This window comes from Homo sapiens, chromosome 10 (assembly GCF_000001405.40).
Source record: "Homo sapiens chromosome 10, GRCh38.p14 Primary Assembly".
Taxonomy (NCBI): domain Eukaryota; kingdom Metazoa; phylum Chordata; class Mammalia; order Primates; family Hominidae; genus Homo; species Homo sapiens.
In genome coordinates, this window is record NC_000010.11 from 58,512,553 (window position 1) to 58,531,056 (window position 18,504).

The 18,504-nt window shown below is 39.2% G+C and overlaps 1 protein-coding gene across 9 annotated transcripts in view; it reads left to right on the forward strand.

The window, feature by feature from the left end:
- BICC1 (BicC family RNA binding protein 1) overlaps positions 1-18,504 on the forward strand; it is a 319,216-nt gene that overhangs the window by 333 nt on the left and 300,379 nt on the right. For 7 of the 9 annotated variants that reach the window (XM_047425778.1, XM_017016678.2, XM_047425779.1 and 4 more), the window contains exon 1: positions 320-781. The exons of the other annotated variants lie outside the window; for them this stretch is intronic. Coding sequence is in view for 3 of the 7 variants with exons in the window: in XM_011540185.3 (XP_011538487.1) it covers positions 592-781 (190 nt within the window). In the remaining 4 variants the exon portion in view is untranslated. Of the gene's footprint in view, positions 1-319; positions 782-18,504 lie in introns of those variants that run through there. 9 annotated transcript variants of the gene reach the window in all.

Consider the following 18,504-nt stretch of genomic DNA (forward strand, 5'->3'; position numbering starts at 1 on the left):
AGTGCAGAAAAGTAGTAGTGTGTGTGATGTGTGTGTGTAGACAGGAATTACGTGGATACTCCATGTGCGTTCAGGAGTGTGTGTGTTTGAGGAGCTATGAAAGTGCATGTATGGAAAGGATTTATACGTGTAAGTGCAGAAAGTGGCAGTGTGTACGTGGTGTGTGTGTGCGCGCGCGAGTGTGTGAGCGCCAGGGGCCGCCCGCCCGCCGCGGCTCCCCGTGGGCTGGCCGGGCCAATGAGCGCGCGGCTGTAGGGGCGGCGGGCGGGGAGGGGGCGCCGAGCCCTGCGGATGGAGGCGCGGGCAGCGCGGCGCGCTCATTCCGCGCGGGCGTTGCTGGCGGGGGGCGGCGCAGCCACTGGACCCGGACCGGGGCCGCGACCCGGGGTGGCGGGTGGCGTGGGCGGCGCCCGGGGCTGGGATGCGCCGGGGGCTCAGTGGCGGCGGCGGCGTTGGCGGTGGCGTCGGCGGCTGCAGGGGGACGAGCTAGCGCCGCGGCGCTGGGAGCCAGTTGAGCCCGGCCGGCGAGCGGAGGCGGCAGCGCAGGCAGAGCGGCGGCGGCAGCGGGAGCCCGAGCGCTGCGCGCCCACCATGGCCGCCCAGGGAGAGCCCGGCTACCTGGCGGCGCAGTCGGACCCCGGCTCCAACAGCGAGCGCAGCACCGACTCCCCAGTGCCCGGCTCCGAGGACGACTTGGTCGCCGGGGCGACCCTGCACAGCCCGGAGTGGAGCGAGGAGCGCTTCCGCGTGGACAGGAAGAAACTTGAGGCCATGTTACAAGGTAGGCATCCCTCGTGTTCTCGGACTCTCCGACTGAGCCTCTAACTCCTTTTCGGACATCCCCACCGCGCGCTCCGGCGCCCGCTACTCCAGCCTACGGCCGGCCGGTTTAGCTCCAGGCCCGCTCCCCCGCGGAGCCGGAGGACACCCAGGGACTGGAGACTTCGCGGGACTCCCCACCCTTCCACGCCTCTCAGATTTCCAGGCGCTGGGGGCCCTGTGCGAACTTGACTGGCTTCAGAAAAGCCGAAGGCCGAGTTTGTACTGGCGCGCCCAAGTTGCGTTCTGGACTTTGGAGATGCCAACTTTAGCCCGGACACCTGGGCTGTGCCATCCGGACCACTCGGGCCGCACAGAGTATGCGTGACCCTCCCCATTCCCTGGCAGCCTCGAGTTCTGTCTCTCTCCGTCTGTTTCACTCTCTCCCCTTGTCAGTATCCACTTCCTCCAGCTGAGGGGCCTTGTCTCACTATTGGGAAACGCTCTGCAGATGTCAAGGCTTAAGACAGGAGCTCCCGCCCCCACCCCTGTGGTCAAGGAGGGCCAGGATCGGGGTGAGCAGCCAAAGCGAGGGGGGAGTGTGGAGGCAGTGCTGCTGTGTTTGAGGACAGTGTTCATCTCTTGACAGGCTTATAAAACACATCTTGAGTTACATTCAGTCCATAAAAATCTTCCTATGCTATGGGTGTCTGACTTTGTCTTTCACAACTTAGAATTATTTTTAACTCTTTAATTTCTTTGGGACTTTCCCAGGTAGAAAATCTTCAACCATACTGGACCGAAAACAGATTCTGATTTATAATACGAGTGTTGGAGTGAACGTCAAAACGTCCAAGGTCATTTTGACCTTTCTTAAAACAGATAATTACTAGCCTACCTGTAGCCACCGATGTGGCTCATTTCCCACATCCAAAGAGAGAAATGAGTTAGTTTGAATGACTGTTATTCTTAAAATACGTGTACGGGACCAGGCGTTAGTCTCACTTAGGGCGCTGGTGAAGATTCATTCAGTAGCTAGTGTTCTTTTATCATGGAGGAGTTTGGAGTTTTTCAAACGTTATTTGTGGCTTTATGCATAACTTACTTTGACTTTATCAGTCAATGCATCGCAGTATGGGAATGATTTAGCCCTCTGTGGAAATGCAGTGGCTTTTTAGAACAATTAAGCAGGTTATTTTAAGAGAGAACAACATGTTTTCCAAAACAATAACTTGGTGGAAACAAATAGCAAGAGTGTTTGGCAGACGTTTTTTGGATGTGCTACAGGCTTTCCTCCCTTGTTGCTTATTTTTATTGACAAACATCCCTAATGTGTGTCATGTCTTTCTCTGTCTCTCCCCTTCCCTCTCTTTTTTTCTCAAATTATGTAACTTTTGAGGACAGTTACTTCTGTGATAAACTCTTCAAGTAAGACCGTTATAAGATAGATTTGGAAATTAAAGCCCCAGTTGCATTTCAGTAACTCATTTCAGTTATTTCGTCTGTTCTGTGGTTCTTTTTGCCTAGTTTATGATTATAAAACAAAATATTAAATTTATGTCAGGCATATATTGTGAGATCGTTTGGAATGAACTGATAGTAGCACATACTCATCCTTTTCAACCAGCTTTCAGTTTTCTACATTAGTTTGGAGTGATATGAAAGAATGATCTGTTTCACCTGCGCACAAACAAGTAAGGACAGTGATGTTAGCTTCTGGGAAGTTCAAGTGTATAACCTGAGCTTTAGAAGTGAATTTCCTTTTTTGATTTAATTCATTTTCACTTCGAATAAAATGAAATTTTGAGGAGACTTTTTGAAAATTTGAAGGCTCTTTTGTATTAATAGATGTGATACTACGATCTGAGACGGTTTGAAATTGCTTTGCAGTAATAGTTTCTTTTACAGAAAGTCTTAACATCTCTTGAACAACCGATATACAGTCATGCAGTCCATGCTTAAGGACTACGACTGGGATACCTTGTTAGAAATGTGTCCTTAGGCATTTTCATTGTGCAAACATCATGGAGTGTAGTTACACAAACCTAGGTTGTGTAGCCTGCTACACCTACTACCTAAGCTATATGGTATAGTCTATTGCTCCTAGGCTACAAATAATGTTACTAGGCTACAAGGCGTGTTACTATACCCAATACTGTAGACAGTTGTGGCACAGTGGTATTTGTGTATCTAAATATATCTAAACATTGGAAAGGTAATGTGTTATGTTACTATGGCTATGACATCACTAGGCGATAGGAATTTTTCAGCTTCTTTATAATCTTACGGGACCATTGTAGTGTATGTGGTTAGTTGTTGACCAAAACACAAGTGTGAGCACTGGGATCACTAATACCTGGGTTCAAAACTCTGTAGGATCTCAGGAAAGTTGCTAGGCCTCTCTTTGCCTTCAGTTTGCCCATCTGTAAAATGGAGCTGATACTAGGACCTTTTAGGTTTTGGGAGAATCGAAAGAGATAATGCCTAACAAGCTAACATTTGCCCACAGTGTTTGGTCAATGATAAGAACTTAATGAATATCTGTTGTTATTATTAATAATAAATATTGCATCATGGATTAAAAGGATTTCCAGTGCCTACCACAATGTATGAAATATAGTATATACTTAATAAATAGTTGGGGAACAAAATAATTTTGCAGGTTCATAATTGCAGAAGTAAAATAGAAACTAAAGAAGTAAGTCTATCAAGTCAATAAGCATTCTAATATTGTTAGATATTCTTGGGTGGAAAGCTTTTTATTTGAAAAGTGCCAAGTAAGTAAAGTCTGTATTTGAGTTTTCAATTATTGTGAATTTGGGTGTGCTATTTTTCTATTTACAATTGACTTAAAATAGGTACAGGTTTCCAATTTAAATCAGGATAAATAAGATTATCTGCCTTTAAGTATTCAGAGTGCAAATTGGTGATTATAATGCTTGGAATTTGTTTCCAGAGAGACTGTCCTGGGGGCAAGTTAATCTTTAATGAGTTGTATTTTTATTAGTAGATAAATTCTTCTACGCAATGGACCAAAAATTCAGTGAGGTTAATATATGGGCAATAGGGTAGTAGTCAAATAAATGAAATACCATTCTTAGATGATCATTAAAACTTAAAAGAATTGTTGCAGATAAAAACCACCAGGCCAACAATGTAGGGAAATATCACTCTTTTTTCATGGTTTTTTACTGGCAGGTTGGGGTCTAATTACTACTTCGAAACAACCATGCAGAGTATCTGATGTTTTTGCTGTAAGTGAAGATTATCAGTTTTATTAGTTTACAGTTTTATAAATGGAAATTTATTTTCAAGTTTAGGTTTTTGATGGGTGTGGTAAGTCTTGGAATGAATACCATAGACAGCATTTTTAATGATAAAGAAAATCCTTATATAATTTCTTTATTTAATACTGATCTTCAAATGTAAATTTCATGCATCATGTGAAATAATAGTATTGATTTATGTAAGCCAATTAAATTTTAGTTAAATTAACTCAAAGTTATAAGTTACATATCATAACTCACATTAACTCAACTGAGTTATCAGGGAGGAAAGGGAGGAGAGTGTTATAGCAGGAAGTCTGGGAGAAAGTAAGAAATAATTGAGTCAAGAGAATCAGAGATACAGTCTTGGTGTTTGCCAGAGTACTGAGGCAATCACAGGATTCCTATATTAATACTTTTCTTTTTTAAAGTATTTTTCTTTGTAAAAACATATATGTGTACTATAAAATTAAAAATTCCCATATATAACACAGCACTTCAAATTATTATTTAAAAAAAATTTCCCATATAAAATTCAGAAGCATAGGTATTTTCAAAGTTTGGGAATCCCTTCTTTCAGTAGAGAAAATGGTAAGTGTTAAAAAGTGGGACCTGTGGTGGGGAGGAATGGCCTATTTTCATGAAAGGAGATTGACATCTGGTGGGATTTTATGATACTGCTGCCAAAGACTTTAAGAACCATGTTGCATTTTTGCAGTGATAGGCAGAACTGGGGTCATTTGCTACTGCTCGGTTGAGTAGCAGAGTTAGCCACTGAAACAGAGGTTGTTGTACATCATTGATTAACAGTAGGAGCAGCAACTATGTTATCTCTTTAATTCAGCAAACTTTAGTGGATTTTTAAAATGATTTGATGAACAGATAATAATTTAGACTTTTTTCATGAGAGCGGGAAGAAATATGAAGCCAAAAATGTGTGAAAATGGGGGAGTACTGAAAGTGAAGATAAAGAGTAAAGCTTAAATAAACAGAGTTTTCTAGCTAATGCTTGATCAAGGCTAATAAACAGCAAAAACAAATCAAATACATTTATGAGCTTAGAGATTAATAGCACAGGGCTGTGGGCCAAATCTAGATTTGAATCTTGATGCTACATTTTAATAGGGAGCTTGGGAGAATCCATCACTTGGCGACCTCATTTCTCAAATGGGGCAGTTAATGGTAGTACTTACCTCCTGAGGTAGTTTTGAAAATGAAGAGGAAAAAGGTGTATGTAAGTCATCCCAGTGCTGGCAACATAGGAAGTGCTGAATAAGCTAATAACAATATTCACAGTAAATCATTATGTATAAAATGCACTTTCTTATATTGATCATGAAAATCAAGTATATTGGAAACTTTAGTTTGGTCTTAAATTATCTTACGATTAATGAACATGCACAGCTATCTAAATATTATTATTGGCCTCCCTGGTAGCTTGCCATGTGTTGAGTATACTTGTAAAGGTGGGTGGGTAAATACTAAGTAAAGCTCCATTAGACATGAGTGTGGAGTTCTAGATTTTGCTCAGGACGAGAGGGCTTTTCACCCTTTTTAGTTGTAAATTGTTCTTGCTTTGAGTATTTTTCATTATTTGACTGGTCCTGAGCCATTCATTTCTAGTATGGTTTACTAAAGACTAGCAGCGAAATCAGTTAATCTCTCTTCTGGTTGTAAGTTGCTCTGAATTTGAGTCATTCATTGGTGTGTAGAAAGAAGGTTTTTTGAAGAAAATACTCTGCCTGGGTTAACATGTTTCATTTGCTCACCTGTAAAATGGGGATAATAATAGTCCTACTTTACGGTGATATTGTGAATGCTGAGTGTGAGAATGTATGTAATATGCTTAGTTCAGTGCCAGGTTGATGGTGCTTAATAAACATCAGTTCAGATGCAGCAGTACTGTCTCACATGATGGATAAAGATTTCAAAACACTAGAAAGCAAATACTTGCCAAGTCTTTTTTTCTTTTTTCTTCTAATTGCATGTGAATCCTTTGTGTATGTGTGTGTTGGGGGGGGGGGGGTGTGTTTGATGTGTTTTAGTGAAAGTCTTCCTCAAAAAATTAGAAAAGTTTGTTATGACAATTTATTTGATCCAGAGAGCATAGTTGCAATTAAAATTGCTTTATAGATTAAGTGAAAAAACACATCAGAGGTTGTATAGCTTGGCAGTAAAGAGCCCAGGAGCTGCTTTCAGACTAACTTGGATTGAGGAGGTCCTCACTTTGCTTCTCGTAGAGTTCCGTGAGGATGCACTGAGAGGGGCAGTAAAACCTCACGCTCACGGGCATGGAGCAAGCACTCTCAGTCACTTATCTCTATGAAGACTTGGAGGGTTTTGGTGAAGTTGATCATTGATAAATACATAGCTAGAGAGGTTTGTTATACCAATGACTTTTACAGGCAAGAATGTATTTGGCTGCGACTAACAGGAAACCTGACACAGAGTGGCTTAAACAAGCCAGGGGTTTGTCCTTCTCACCTAATGAGAAGTCTGGGGCTAAGCAGTCCAGGCTCCAAGAGCTGCTCAAGGGCATCAGGAGCCCCGTGTCTTCCCTCTTCCCTGCCTCCACCATCTTCAGCCTGTGGCTTTTTGCCTTATTTTTGCACTGTGGCTGTGGCTGTGTTTTGAGGTGTGTCTGGTTTATGCAGGAAAAAGGCGGAAGAAGAAAAATTATTTTCTCTTAGAGATTTTGCATTTTTATGTGACAAAGAATTCTCTCTCCTGGAACTTCTGTCTGTACTTCTTTGGCCACCTTTTGCTGCAAAAGACTCTGGGAATGTATCTTCTTTTTCCAGCCTCACTAGTGGAAGTAGGCAAAGAAGAAGGGGGTCAGAATGGATGCTGAATGTTTTACCCCATATTTTCCTCACAGTGGGCAAAGTGGAGGAGCATTAGGACTCAAAATTGCAAATTGTGACTGAAGTCAAAGCTTACCTGTATTGGAGACTTTGGACTGTGCTGATAATCTGTAGGAACTTATGTTATTCAGTAACATTATATATCAGTAGAATTTCTTTCTTTCCTTTTTTTAAATTATAATTTTTTTTCATCAGGCAGCCCCTGAACCAGAATAGGTTCTGAGAGGCTCCCTAGAATTTCTTTCTTGGCATAGTCCAGAAGTAAACCTAAATACCAAAGAGGAAACCAACTCTGATCATCTAAAGCTCTTCTCATCTTGTTACTCCTTTTATGAACAGAATCTAGGACCACTGAGTACTGGAACTATCTCTAAAAATTCTCCATTGTTTTCTCCATGTCAAATGTTTTTTTTTCCATAGAAAATTACATGGTACAATAAAAATGCTTATTTCACTTTTTATTATCTTAAGATATCTTTTCTGTCCTCCCTCCTCCCACTGTCCACACATGTCAGATTTGGTTTAGAATTGACAGGTTCAGTGTAGTTCATGCCTCGCCCTTTTGGCTTTTCATAGATTGGTCACTTAGGTATAATCTGGCCAACAAAGCCAGAATTTGTTCAGAACCGTTTTGGAGACAGTTTGATAGAATTATCATCCCATGTTTTGTCGTCTGAAATTGTCCAAAATAGTGAGCTAATAAAATAGACCAGTTGACTCATTCTTAGTTCGTTTTAAGATACTGTTCTTACTTAAAAAATACATAGGGTAATAGTGACCACATATATTCCTTTATATGAAATATTTAATAAACTACCAGGAATGAGGCGCAATTTTATTGCTAATTTATAGTGGTTTTGGTGTGTGGGGATGATCTTGGCAAGAAAATCTTGTTATGCTGCAAAAGCCACCAAATTCAATGTCTAATCCTTATCGTACTACCATCTAGGGCAGTCTCCAGAGAGCACAAAACCATCATAGAAGCATTGTGGGTGCTATACATTTGTAAATCCTTTTCCTACCTATCAGGCTACTAATAGCTGTGGATGATGAAAATGTTTGTATTTGTAACAAGTATTAAATCTTGTTCCCATTTATGATGCTGGCATATAAAAAGATAACACTTTCTAGGTATCAGGTGGTTTCCCTGTTATAGTGAGAATGATAAACCACATATTAGTCTGCATATTGAGTTGATCTGGAGCTTAACTGTATCTCTTATATAGAAAGGTGATTAAACATAGGATTTGAAAATTAGCCATTGCTGTTTTTTCCCCCTCGATTTTAAAAGTAATACAAACCTATATAGAATACTTGAAAGTATAAACATAAGTAAAAAAGAAAAACCAAGTCATCCCTAACTCCAGAATCCAGCAATAACCACTGATGATATTTTAGGAATTTTTTTCCTGGTCTTTTGAAAATATGCCCACACATAATTTATTTTTGCCATGCATTTTGAGTTTGTACCATATGTCAGGTGCAGTGTTGAGCTTTGGGGATGCAGATGAAACCAAAAGAGTTACTGGCCCTACCCTTCTGTGACTTAAATTCTACACTGGGATCATACCTCCTATCTTTTTCACTTAGCGTTGAATCATAAGTATTTTCTGTTTCATTAAAGGTTCTTGAAGAACATGGTTTCCGGTGTCTGTATAATTCTTTTGTTGTAGTATACTTTGTTTAAACACTACAACATTTTAGAATATTTTTAGGTGGCTAGACAGTGGAATGAGTCCAGTGTTTCTACTCAAACTGCCCGGGATTCAGATCCTGATTATTAGCCATGTGGCCTGGGACAAATTAATAACTCATTTGGCTTCTCATCTCTAAAATGGAGATAAAAAGTATCTATCTTCTAGGTTGTGAGGATTAGAAATACTGTATCCACAAGTGCCAGGTGCGGAGCAGGTACTCAAGATATGGCAGATGATAAATATTTAGCCCGCTGTCCCAACCACTTCTGCCTAAAAGCCTTTTATGCATTTTTTATTATTCTCATAGGAAAAACCTTATTAGTGAAATTTTGGGGAGCAAAGGACATGGAAATTTTAAGGTTCCTGATCAATTTTGCAAAATTATTTTCTGGGAAGTTTTGCAGGTTAGGCAGAAGAGACAACAAATCTGCAGGGTAATCTGCTCCTTATACCTGCGGTTCCCACAGTCCATTATTAGAAAGCAATTGAATTACCAATATAAAGTTAGATCTCCGTTTTGCCTTTTTTTGCTGAAAAATTGAAGTGAATTTTATCTTACCTGCTTAGCATGTTTGTGGATCAGTATTTTTTAAAAGTTGTGGGCATGAAAATCAGCCAGGGAATGTGGTGTTTTTTTTTTTTTTTTTTTTTTTTTTTTTTTTTTTTTTGAGGGAGTACACTTTGGCCTTCCCTCTCAGATTCCAACTTTGTAGGTTTGAGAGTGGTGTTGGCAGGATTGGCATTTTGGAAAGAATCTTTTGTGAGTCTAATGGAGATGGTCCCAGGATCACACTTTGAGAAACATTGCAAGGTGGTTAGAGGATGGTGAAATCATTGAAGTTAAGAATCAGACTCTTTTCTTTCTTTGATTTCCTTTACCCTTGAAGCTAGTACTTTTTCCACATTATTAAACCATCTTGAAGCATTTTAGTCTGGGAACATAATTTATAACTGGTATGTTGTTTATAGTGGCTTGTTGTAAGGGACTTGGGGGAGGAGCACAAATCTATATATTCTTGCGGAGGGCAATATTGTCATATTGCACAGTAGGCTCACAATGCATTTGGTTTTCCTGCAGACTCCCATTAAGTTAGGCATAATAGATACCTATGTAATATATTATGAAATAATTTAAAAACACACTTTTCATTGTAGAAATTTTTAAAGCAATACACTCCTTAGCAAATGTAAAAGAACAGAAATTATAACAAACTGTCTCTCAGACCACAGTGCAATCAAACTAGAACTCAGGATTAAGAAACTCCCTCAAAACCGCTCAACTACTTGGAAACTGAACAACCTGCTCCTGAATGACTACTGGGTACATAATGAAATGAAGGCAGAAATAAACATGTTCTTTGAAACCAACGACAACAAAGACACAACATACCAGAATCTCTGGGATACATTCAAAGCAGTGTGTAGAGGGAAATTTATAGGACTAAATGCCCACAAGAGAAAGCAGGAAAGATCTAAAATTGATACCCTAACATCACAATTAAAAGAACTAGAGAAACGAGCAAACACATTCAAAAGCTAGCAGAAGGCAAGAAATAGCTAAGATCAGAGGAGAACTGAAGGAAATAGAGACACAAAAAACCCTTCAAAAAATCAGTGAATCCAGGAGCTGGTTTTTTGAAAAGACCAACAAAATGGATAGACCGTTAGCAAGACTAATAAAGAAGAAAAGAGAGAAGAATCAAATGGACACAATAAAAAATGATAAAGGGGATATCACCATCGATCCCACAGAACTACAGACTACCATCAGAGAATACTATAAACACCTCTATGCAAATAAACTAGAAAATCTAGAAGAAATGGATTAATTCCTCGACATATACACCCTCCCAAGACTAAACCAGGAAGAAGTTGAATCTCTGAATAGACCAATAACAGGCTCTGAAATTGAGGCAATAATTAATAGCTTACCAACCAAAAAAAGTCCAGAACCAGATAGATTCACAGCTGAATTCTACCAGAGGTACAAGGAGGAGCTGGTACCATTCCTTCTGAAACTATTCCAATCAATAGAAAAAGAGGGAATCCTCCCTAACTCATTTTATGAGGCCAGCATCATCCTGATACCAAAGCCTGGCAGAGCACAACAAAAAAAGGGAATTTTAGACCAATATCCCTGATGAACATCGATGCAAAAATCCTCAATAAAATACTGACAAACCGAATCCAGCAGCACATCAAAAAGCTTATCCACCACGATCAAGTTGGCTTCATCCCTGGGATTCAAGGCTGGTTTAACATACGCAAATCAATAAACGTAATCCAACGTATAAACAGAACCAACGACAAAAACCATATGATTATCTCAATAGATGCAGAAAAGGCCTTTGACAAAATTCAACAAAGCTTCATGCTAAAAACTCTCAATAAATTAGGTATTGATGGGACGTATCTCAAAATAATAAGAGCTATCTATGACAAACCCACAGCCAGTATCATATTGAATGGGCAAAAACTGGAAGCATTCCCTTTGAAAACTGGCACAAGACAGGGATGCCCTCTCTCACCACTCCTATTCAACATAGTGTTGGAAGTTCTGGCCAGGGCAATCAGGCAGGAGAAAGAAAGAAAGGGTATTCAATTAGGAAAAGAGGAAGTCAAATTGACCCTGTTTGCAGATGACATGATTGTATATCTAGAAAACCCCATCGTCTCAGCCCAAAATCTCCTTAAGCTGATAGACAACTTCAGCAAAGTCTTAGGATACAAAATGAATGTGCAAAAATCACAAGCATTCTTATACACCAATAACAGACAAACAGCCACATCATGAGTGAACTCCCATTCACAATTGCTTCAAAGAGAATGAAATACCTAGGAATCCAACGTACAAGGGATGTGAAGGACCTCTTCAAGGAGAACTACAAACCACTGCTCAATGAAATAAAAGAGGATACAAACAAATGGAAGAACATTCCATGCTCATGGGTAGGAAGACTCAATATTGTGAAAATGGCCATACTGCCCAAGGTAATTTATAGATTCAATGCCATCCCCATCAAGCTACCAATGACTTTCTTCACAGAATTGGAAAAAACTACTTTAAAGTTCATATGGAACCAAAAAAAGCCCGCATTGCCAAGTCAATCCTAAGCCAAAAGAACAAAGCTGGAGGCACCACGCTACCTGACTTCAAACTATACTACAAGGCTACAGTAACCAAAACAGCATGGTACTGATACCAAAACAGAGATATAGATCAATGGAACAGAACAGAGCCCTCAGAAATAATGCCGCATATCTACAACCATCTGATCTTTGACAAACCTGAGAAAAACAAGCAATGGGGAAAGGATTCCCTATTTAATAAATGGTGCTGGGAAAACTGGCTAGCCATATGTAGAAAGCTGAAACTGGATCCCTTCCTTACACCTTAATTCAAGATTGATCAAAAATTAATTCAAGATTGATTAAAGACTTAAATATTAGACCTAAAACCATAAAAACCCTAGAAGAAAACCTAGGCATTACCATTCAGGACATATGCATGGGCAAGGACTTCATGTCTAAAACACCAAAAGCAATGGCAACAAAAGCCAAAATTGACAAATGGGATCTAATTAAACTAAAGAGCTTCTGCACAGCAAAAGAAACTACCATCAGAGTGAACAGGCAACCTACAGAATGGGAAAAAATTTTTGCAATCTACTCATCTCCCAAAGGGCTAATATCCAGAACCTACAATGAACTCCAACAAATTTACAAGAAAAAATCAAACAACCCCATCAACAAGTGGGCGAAGGATATGAACAAACACTTCTCAAAAGAAGACACTTTTGCAGCCAACAGACACATGAAAAAATGCTCATCATCACTGGCCATCAGAGAAATGCAAATCAAAACCACAATGAGATACCATCTCACAGCAGTTAGAATGGCAGTCATTAAAAAGTCAGGAAACAACAGGTGCTGGAGAGGATGTGGAGAAATAGGAACACTTTTACACTGTTGGTGGTACTGTAAGCTAGTTCAACCATTGTGGAAGTCAGTGTGGCAATTCCTCAGGGATCTAGAACTAGAAATACCATTTGACCCAGCAATCCCATTACTGGGTATATACCCAAAGGATTATAAATCATGCTGCTATAAAGATAACATGCACATGTATGTTTATTGTGGCACTATTCACAATAGCAAAGACTTGGAACCAACCCAAATGTCCATCAATGATAGACTGAATTAAGAAAATGTGGCACATATACACCATGGAATACTATGCAGCCATAAAAAAGGATGAGTTCATCTCCTTGGTAGGGCATGGATGAAGCGGGAAACCATCATTCTCAGCAAACTATCGCAAGGACAGAAAACCAAACACCGCATGTTCTCACTCATAGGTGGGAATTGAACAATGAGAACACGTGGACACAGGAAGGGGAATATCACACACTGGGGCCTGTTGTGGGGTGGGGGGAGGGGGGAGGGATAGCATTAGGACATATACCTAATGTTAAATAATGAGTTAATGGGTGCAGCACACCAACATGGCACATGTATACATATGTAACTAACCTGCACGTTGTGTACATGTACCCTAAAACTTTAATAATAAAAAAAATTTTTTAAAGCAATACAAGGAAGCTTTTTAAAAAGAAAAATAATCGTCAGTAATCTCACCATCCTAACAACCATTTTCATTTTTCTGCCTTGAATTAGAGTTTATGTAGTTGCTGGTATAGTATTTACTGCTTTGTATTCAGTATTTTAATCTATTAAATGTTTTCTGTATTTCTAAGCAGTTTTCAGAATTCTGTGGTTGAATAATAGTACATTTGGTTGAAAAAAATTTTTTATAGTTATGAACTACCTAATAACGAATGTGATTACATGGCTTTTTTTTCTTCGTGACTGTATTCTGAGGAAGAAATTTGAGGAATCTGAGTACTGAAGAATGATGGTAGTTGCAAAAGCAGCAGCCAATTTGTATTATCTCTTACTTTGTGTGGGACATTGTCTTTGGTGATTTATGCCTGTGCGGTCATCTCAGCTTCTCAGCAACAACTCATGACATACAGATGCCCATTGGGATCTGTACTTTACAGAGAAAAAAAAAAGCTGTAAACACTTTAAATTTGGAGCCCTGATTTCTTTTTGGAATTCCAAGTAGACCTAGACACTAGTTTTCCAATTAGGGTTGTTGTAAGGTCTAGACTTTTGTATGTTGTGGAGATGTATCATAGCTGAGTTTAGGATGACAAACCACCCTCCCGAATAGGTTACATTGTTTCTTTCTTTTTTTCTTAATTATACTTTAACTTCTAGGGTACATGTGAACAACCTGCAGGTTTGTTACATATGTATACATGTGTCATGTTGGTGTGCTGCACCCATTAACTCATCACATGTGTCATATTGGTGTGCTGCACCCATTAACTCATCATTTACATTAGGTGTATCTCCTAATGCTATCCCTCCCTGCTCCCCCCACCCCACGACAGGACCCAGTGTGTGATGTTCCCCACCCTGTGTCCAAGTGTTCTCATTGTTCAATTCCCACCTAAGAGTGAGAACATGCGGTGTTTGGTTTTCTGTCCTTGCGATAGTTTGCTGAGAATGATGGTTTCCCGCTTCATCCATGCCCTACCAAGGACATGAACTCATCCTTTTTTATGGCTGCATAGTATTCCATGGTGTATATGTGCCACATTTTCTTAATTCAGTCTATCATTGATGGACATTTGGGTTGGTTCCAAGTCTTTGCTATTGTGAATAGTGCCACAATAAACATACATGTGCATGTATCTTTATAGCAGCATGATTTATAATCCTTTGGGTATATACCCAGTAATGGGATTGCTGGGTCAAATGGTATTTCTAGTTCTAGATCCTTGAGGAATCACCACACTGTCTTCCACAATGGTTGAACTAGTTTACAGTACCACCAACGGTTTAAAAGTGTTCCTATTTCTCCACATCCTCCCCAGCACCTGTTGTTTCCTGACTTTTTAATGATTGCCATTCTAACTGGTGTGAGATGGTATCTCATTGTGGTTTTGATTTGCATTTCTCTGATGGCCAGTGATGATGAACATTTTTTCATGTGTTTTTTGGCTGCATAAATGTCTTTTGAGAAGTGTCTGTTCATATGCTTGGCCCACTTTTTGATGGGGTTGATTTTTTCCTGTAAATTTGTTTAAGTTCTTTGTAGATTCTGGATATTAGCCCTTTGTCAGATGGGTAGATTGTAAAAATTTTCTCCTATTCTGTACGTTGCCTGTTCACTCTGATGGTAGTTTCTTTTGCTGTGCAGAAGCTCTTTAGTTTAATTAGATCCCATTTGTCAAATTTGGCTTTTGTTGCCATTGCTTTTTGTGTTTTTAGTCGTGAAGTCCTTGCCCATGCCTGTGTCCTGAATAGTATTGTCTAGGTTTTCTTCTAGGCTTTTTATGGTTTTAGGTCTAACATTTAAGTCTTTAATCCATCTTGAGTTAGTTTTTGTATAAGGTGTAAGGAAGGGATCCGGTTTCAGCTTTCTACATACGGCTAGCCAGTTTTCCCAGCACCATTTATTAAATAGGGAATCCTTTCCCCATTTCTTGTTTTTGCCAGGTTTGTCATAGACCAGATGGTTGTAGATATAGACCAATGGAACAGAACAGAGCCTTCAGAAATAATACCACACATCTACATTGCTTCTTGAGTGCCCTGCTGAAATGCAGAGGAGCTTGGTGTCAGGCTCGGGTGGGTTAGAATTCTCAGTGAGAATGCAGGTGTTGCAAAGCTCTGCCTTCTACTAGCTTTGGTTATGCTTTCTCAGTTTCTCCCTTTACAAAACAGAATAATAATATGTCTCATGTAGGGTTATGATAACATTTGTAAGGCTGGCACACAATTGGTGCCCTGTAAATAGTTGGTATTTTTCAAATTCATATTCTGTTCCTCTGTGGCATCTGGCCCAGAGCTGTGAAAATATCTGGACTGTGTTTATAGAATAAATGACCCATGATGGATCTGGATTAAAAAGTTTGTTCATTTTGGGCTAGCGGACCTGGCATTGACCTCATGGAATGGAGCTTTAAAGCAAAGTCACGTGCTTGGCCTTAGGAAGTGCCAAACAGTTCTGCCTTACCCAAGTAAGGCAGAGCAGTTCTCCATATGCAAGATGATCTGTCTTCACCCTCAATCTAGGCCGTATGTAGAATGTTTTACTGTTAGTGATAGAACATTAGTGTGGAGTTTTGAATGAGGATATGCAAAACTTAATTCAAGCGAGGTTAATGTTAATTATATTTGTATCTAATCTGGATTAGTTTTATAAATCGAAATTTGTCAAGGTTAATATAATTTCAGTTTATTTCATTGCCGACACTGAATTATCTTGTTCTTAGAATAATATATCTCTAGATACTTGTTTAAATGTGATTTCAAATCTTCTCAGATAAGAGATAATCCATTCTCAAAATTAAGAATAACCTTTTATGTTAGCTTGCTCACTGCACTAAAATTATCATTGAGTTATTTTGAGTTAGAGGGAAATAAACCACTTCTCCCCACAAAATGTTGATTAGGAATTAGGTGCCCTGAGTTCATGACCCAGTCTTGCCACTGACTTCGCCACCTTGGACAGCCTCTCAGGGTTTTGGATTAGATGCCCCTTAAAATCTCTTTCAGTTCCAGTATTCCGGGTCTTCTGCACAGTAAACAATACAAACCCAATGGTACTTTGAACGTGGTGTTAGAAGCTGAGTTGGTTCTCCATACATGAGTAGCTTTGGTAGGGATTTGCCTTGATCTTTACCACACCTGAGCATTCACAGCAAATGGGAAATGTGGTAGAAAGAGAGGATAGTTAAAGTGTCTCGGCTTTGGAGAAGCAAGTACTTGTCAGAGAGCTAACCACAAGCTTTGTTTTCTAACATCTTGGCAGTCAAATTTGCAACACCCTGAATTCTGTGGGCTAGAGCTTAGCTAATTTAAGATTTTCTATGGTAATTGAGCAGAGATTACAGTGTAAATCATAGTTGAGACTTGTTGGTGTTAACATACTTGTCTAGGTGAACAACAGATTTTATGCGTCTTCAAGTAGGATCTTTTTGTCACATTTTCCTTTTCCTCTGCTAACATGTCCAGCTATCAAGCTTCATGTGCCAGTATTGATATCTAGCATCTAAACCACTAGAGTTGCAGGGCAGGAAAATGTAATGTTGTGCCTTAGGGTAAAATTTCAATAAAAAATACATCTGTATCTGTCCAGATTTCAAGTATTTTCAGAATTGTTTTAATTGCTTGTTGATTATTGAGAACTAACACAGTATTTCTCTTATTCTGCGCAGAAGACCACTAAATCTTGTATTATCTATGTTCTGAGTTGATCCCTTTATCATGAGCTTTTTCTTTTGTTTGTTAAAAGCATCACTTAAAGCAAAGGCAATGTTTTGGTAAGATTTTATCTTTTTTAGTTATTTCATATAATGATTTAACTTCAAGCCAGAGAAATGTGTGTTTGGCTTGAGTCTTGCAGGAGGAATCATGTAAAGACATGTTTATTTTAATCTGGGGGGAATTTTTTTTAATTAGAACTTTTTATATGGGAAAAGAAAACCTGAGATTGTTATAGATCTATAGCGTTTTTCTTCAGGGATCTATAATTTACTAAAACATTGTTGGCACTTATTACGTACACAGAAAGATCACCTTCAAAAATATATTTACTATCAGTAAATGGATATCTGAGATGCATTATCTAAATAGAGCATATTTGACCAAGTCTAAAAACTGGGCTTTAGCAACAAAACATTATAAAAATGGATCTGGATTTTAAAAGTTTTGCATAAATGATTAGCTTTCAAGCTTGTGAAAGTTTTTTTTTTTCATTTTAAATCATTTGGGACTAGTGAGGCCATCTACAATGGGAAATTGTTGCATGTATTGGACAAAAATCATGAGTGCATATTATGGGACTGCAGAATTAAATGAGGCCCTTTACCTTTAAAAGGAATATAATCTAGTGGAAGAGAGGAAACGTATCTGTATTTTTTAACAGAAAACAAAAGGAGATCACGTAGAGTAAGGCCCTGATTAATGTACATCATAGCCTGGGTCACGTACCTCCACCCCACAAGACCAAGAAGTGAAATGAGGGAATTGAAGAATCAAATAGAAAAAGGCAAAGCCAATACAATGATGCACTATCTAGTTTGTTACTTCTGAGGATGACTACTACTTCTGGTGAGGCCCAGAAGCTATATCCCTAAATTGTCCACCTAAGGAATTAAAAAGAGAGGCATTGGTCTGTCAGCTTCTGTTCCCTCCTTGAGGAGAGTCAAGGGTTGCCTTCTGGGGCCTGCCTTTCCTGCGATTCTGTGTTAATACACTTAAGACTTAGACGTATAGATATCTAACAAGCTCCTAGGGAAGTAATAAAGAAGTATGTTTAGTGTAAGATTGAGATGAGACATTGTTACCCCAAAGTGGGTTGATACCTATGCCGAACTGTTTACTGTAGCCTCGCTGGAATCAGAGATGAAGGTGAGATGGTATATAAGATTGTGTGTCCAGTACAATGTCTTTATATACTTTAAATGCAAAAAAAAAAAAAAAAAGAAAATCAGAAAGGGAGAGGCGGAAATGGACGTTTAAGATATTTCATACCTTTGTTCTAAATCAAAGAAACTTCCTTACTGTAAATTCTTCATGTAGAGAATGCTTTATGAGATTACAAAAATAAGCCTGTCTGCAGTCAGCAAGATGGAGGAATAGGGAGCACCAGACTTCTACCCCTACAGAAATACTGACTTAACAATATGTGGTCCAATAAAGCCTTTATGAGAAGGCCAGAAATCACTTATGAAGTCACAGAACTCCAGTTTAAAACCAAGAACCATGGTTTTGAAACAGGTAAGAAAAGCTGTTTCATTTCATCTGAGTCGGCCCCTTCCCCAAGCCACCACAGCTAAT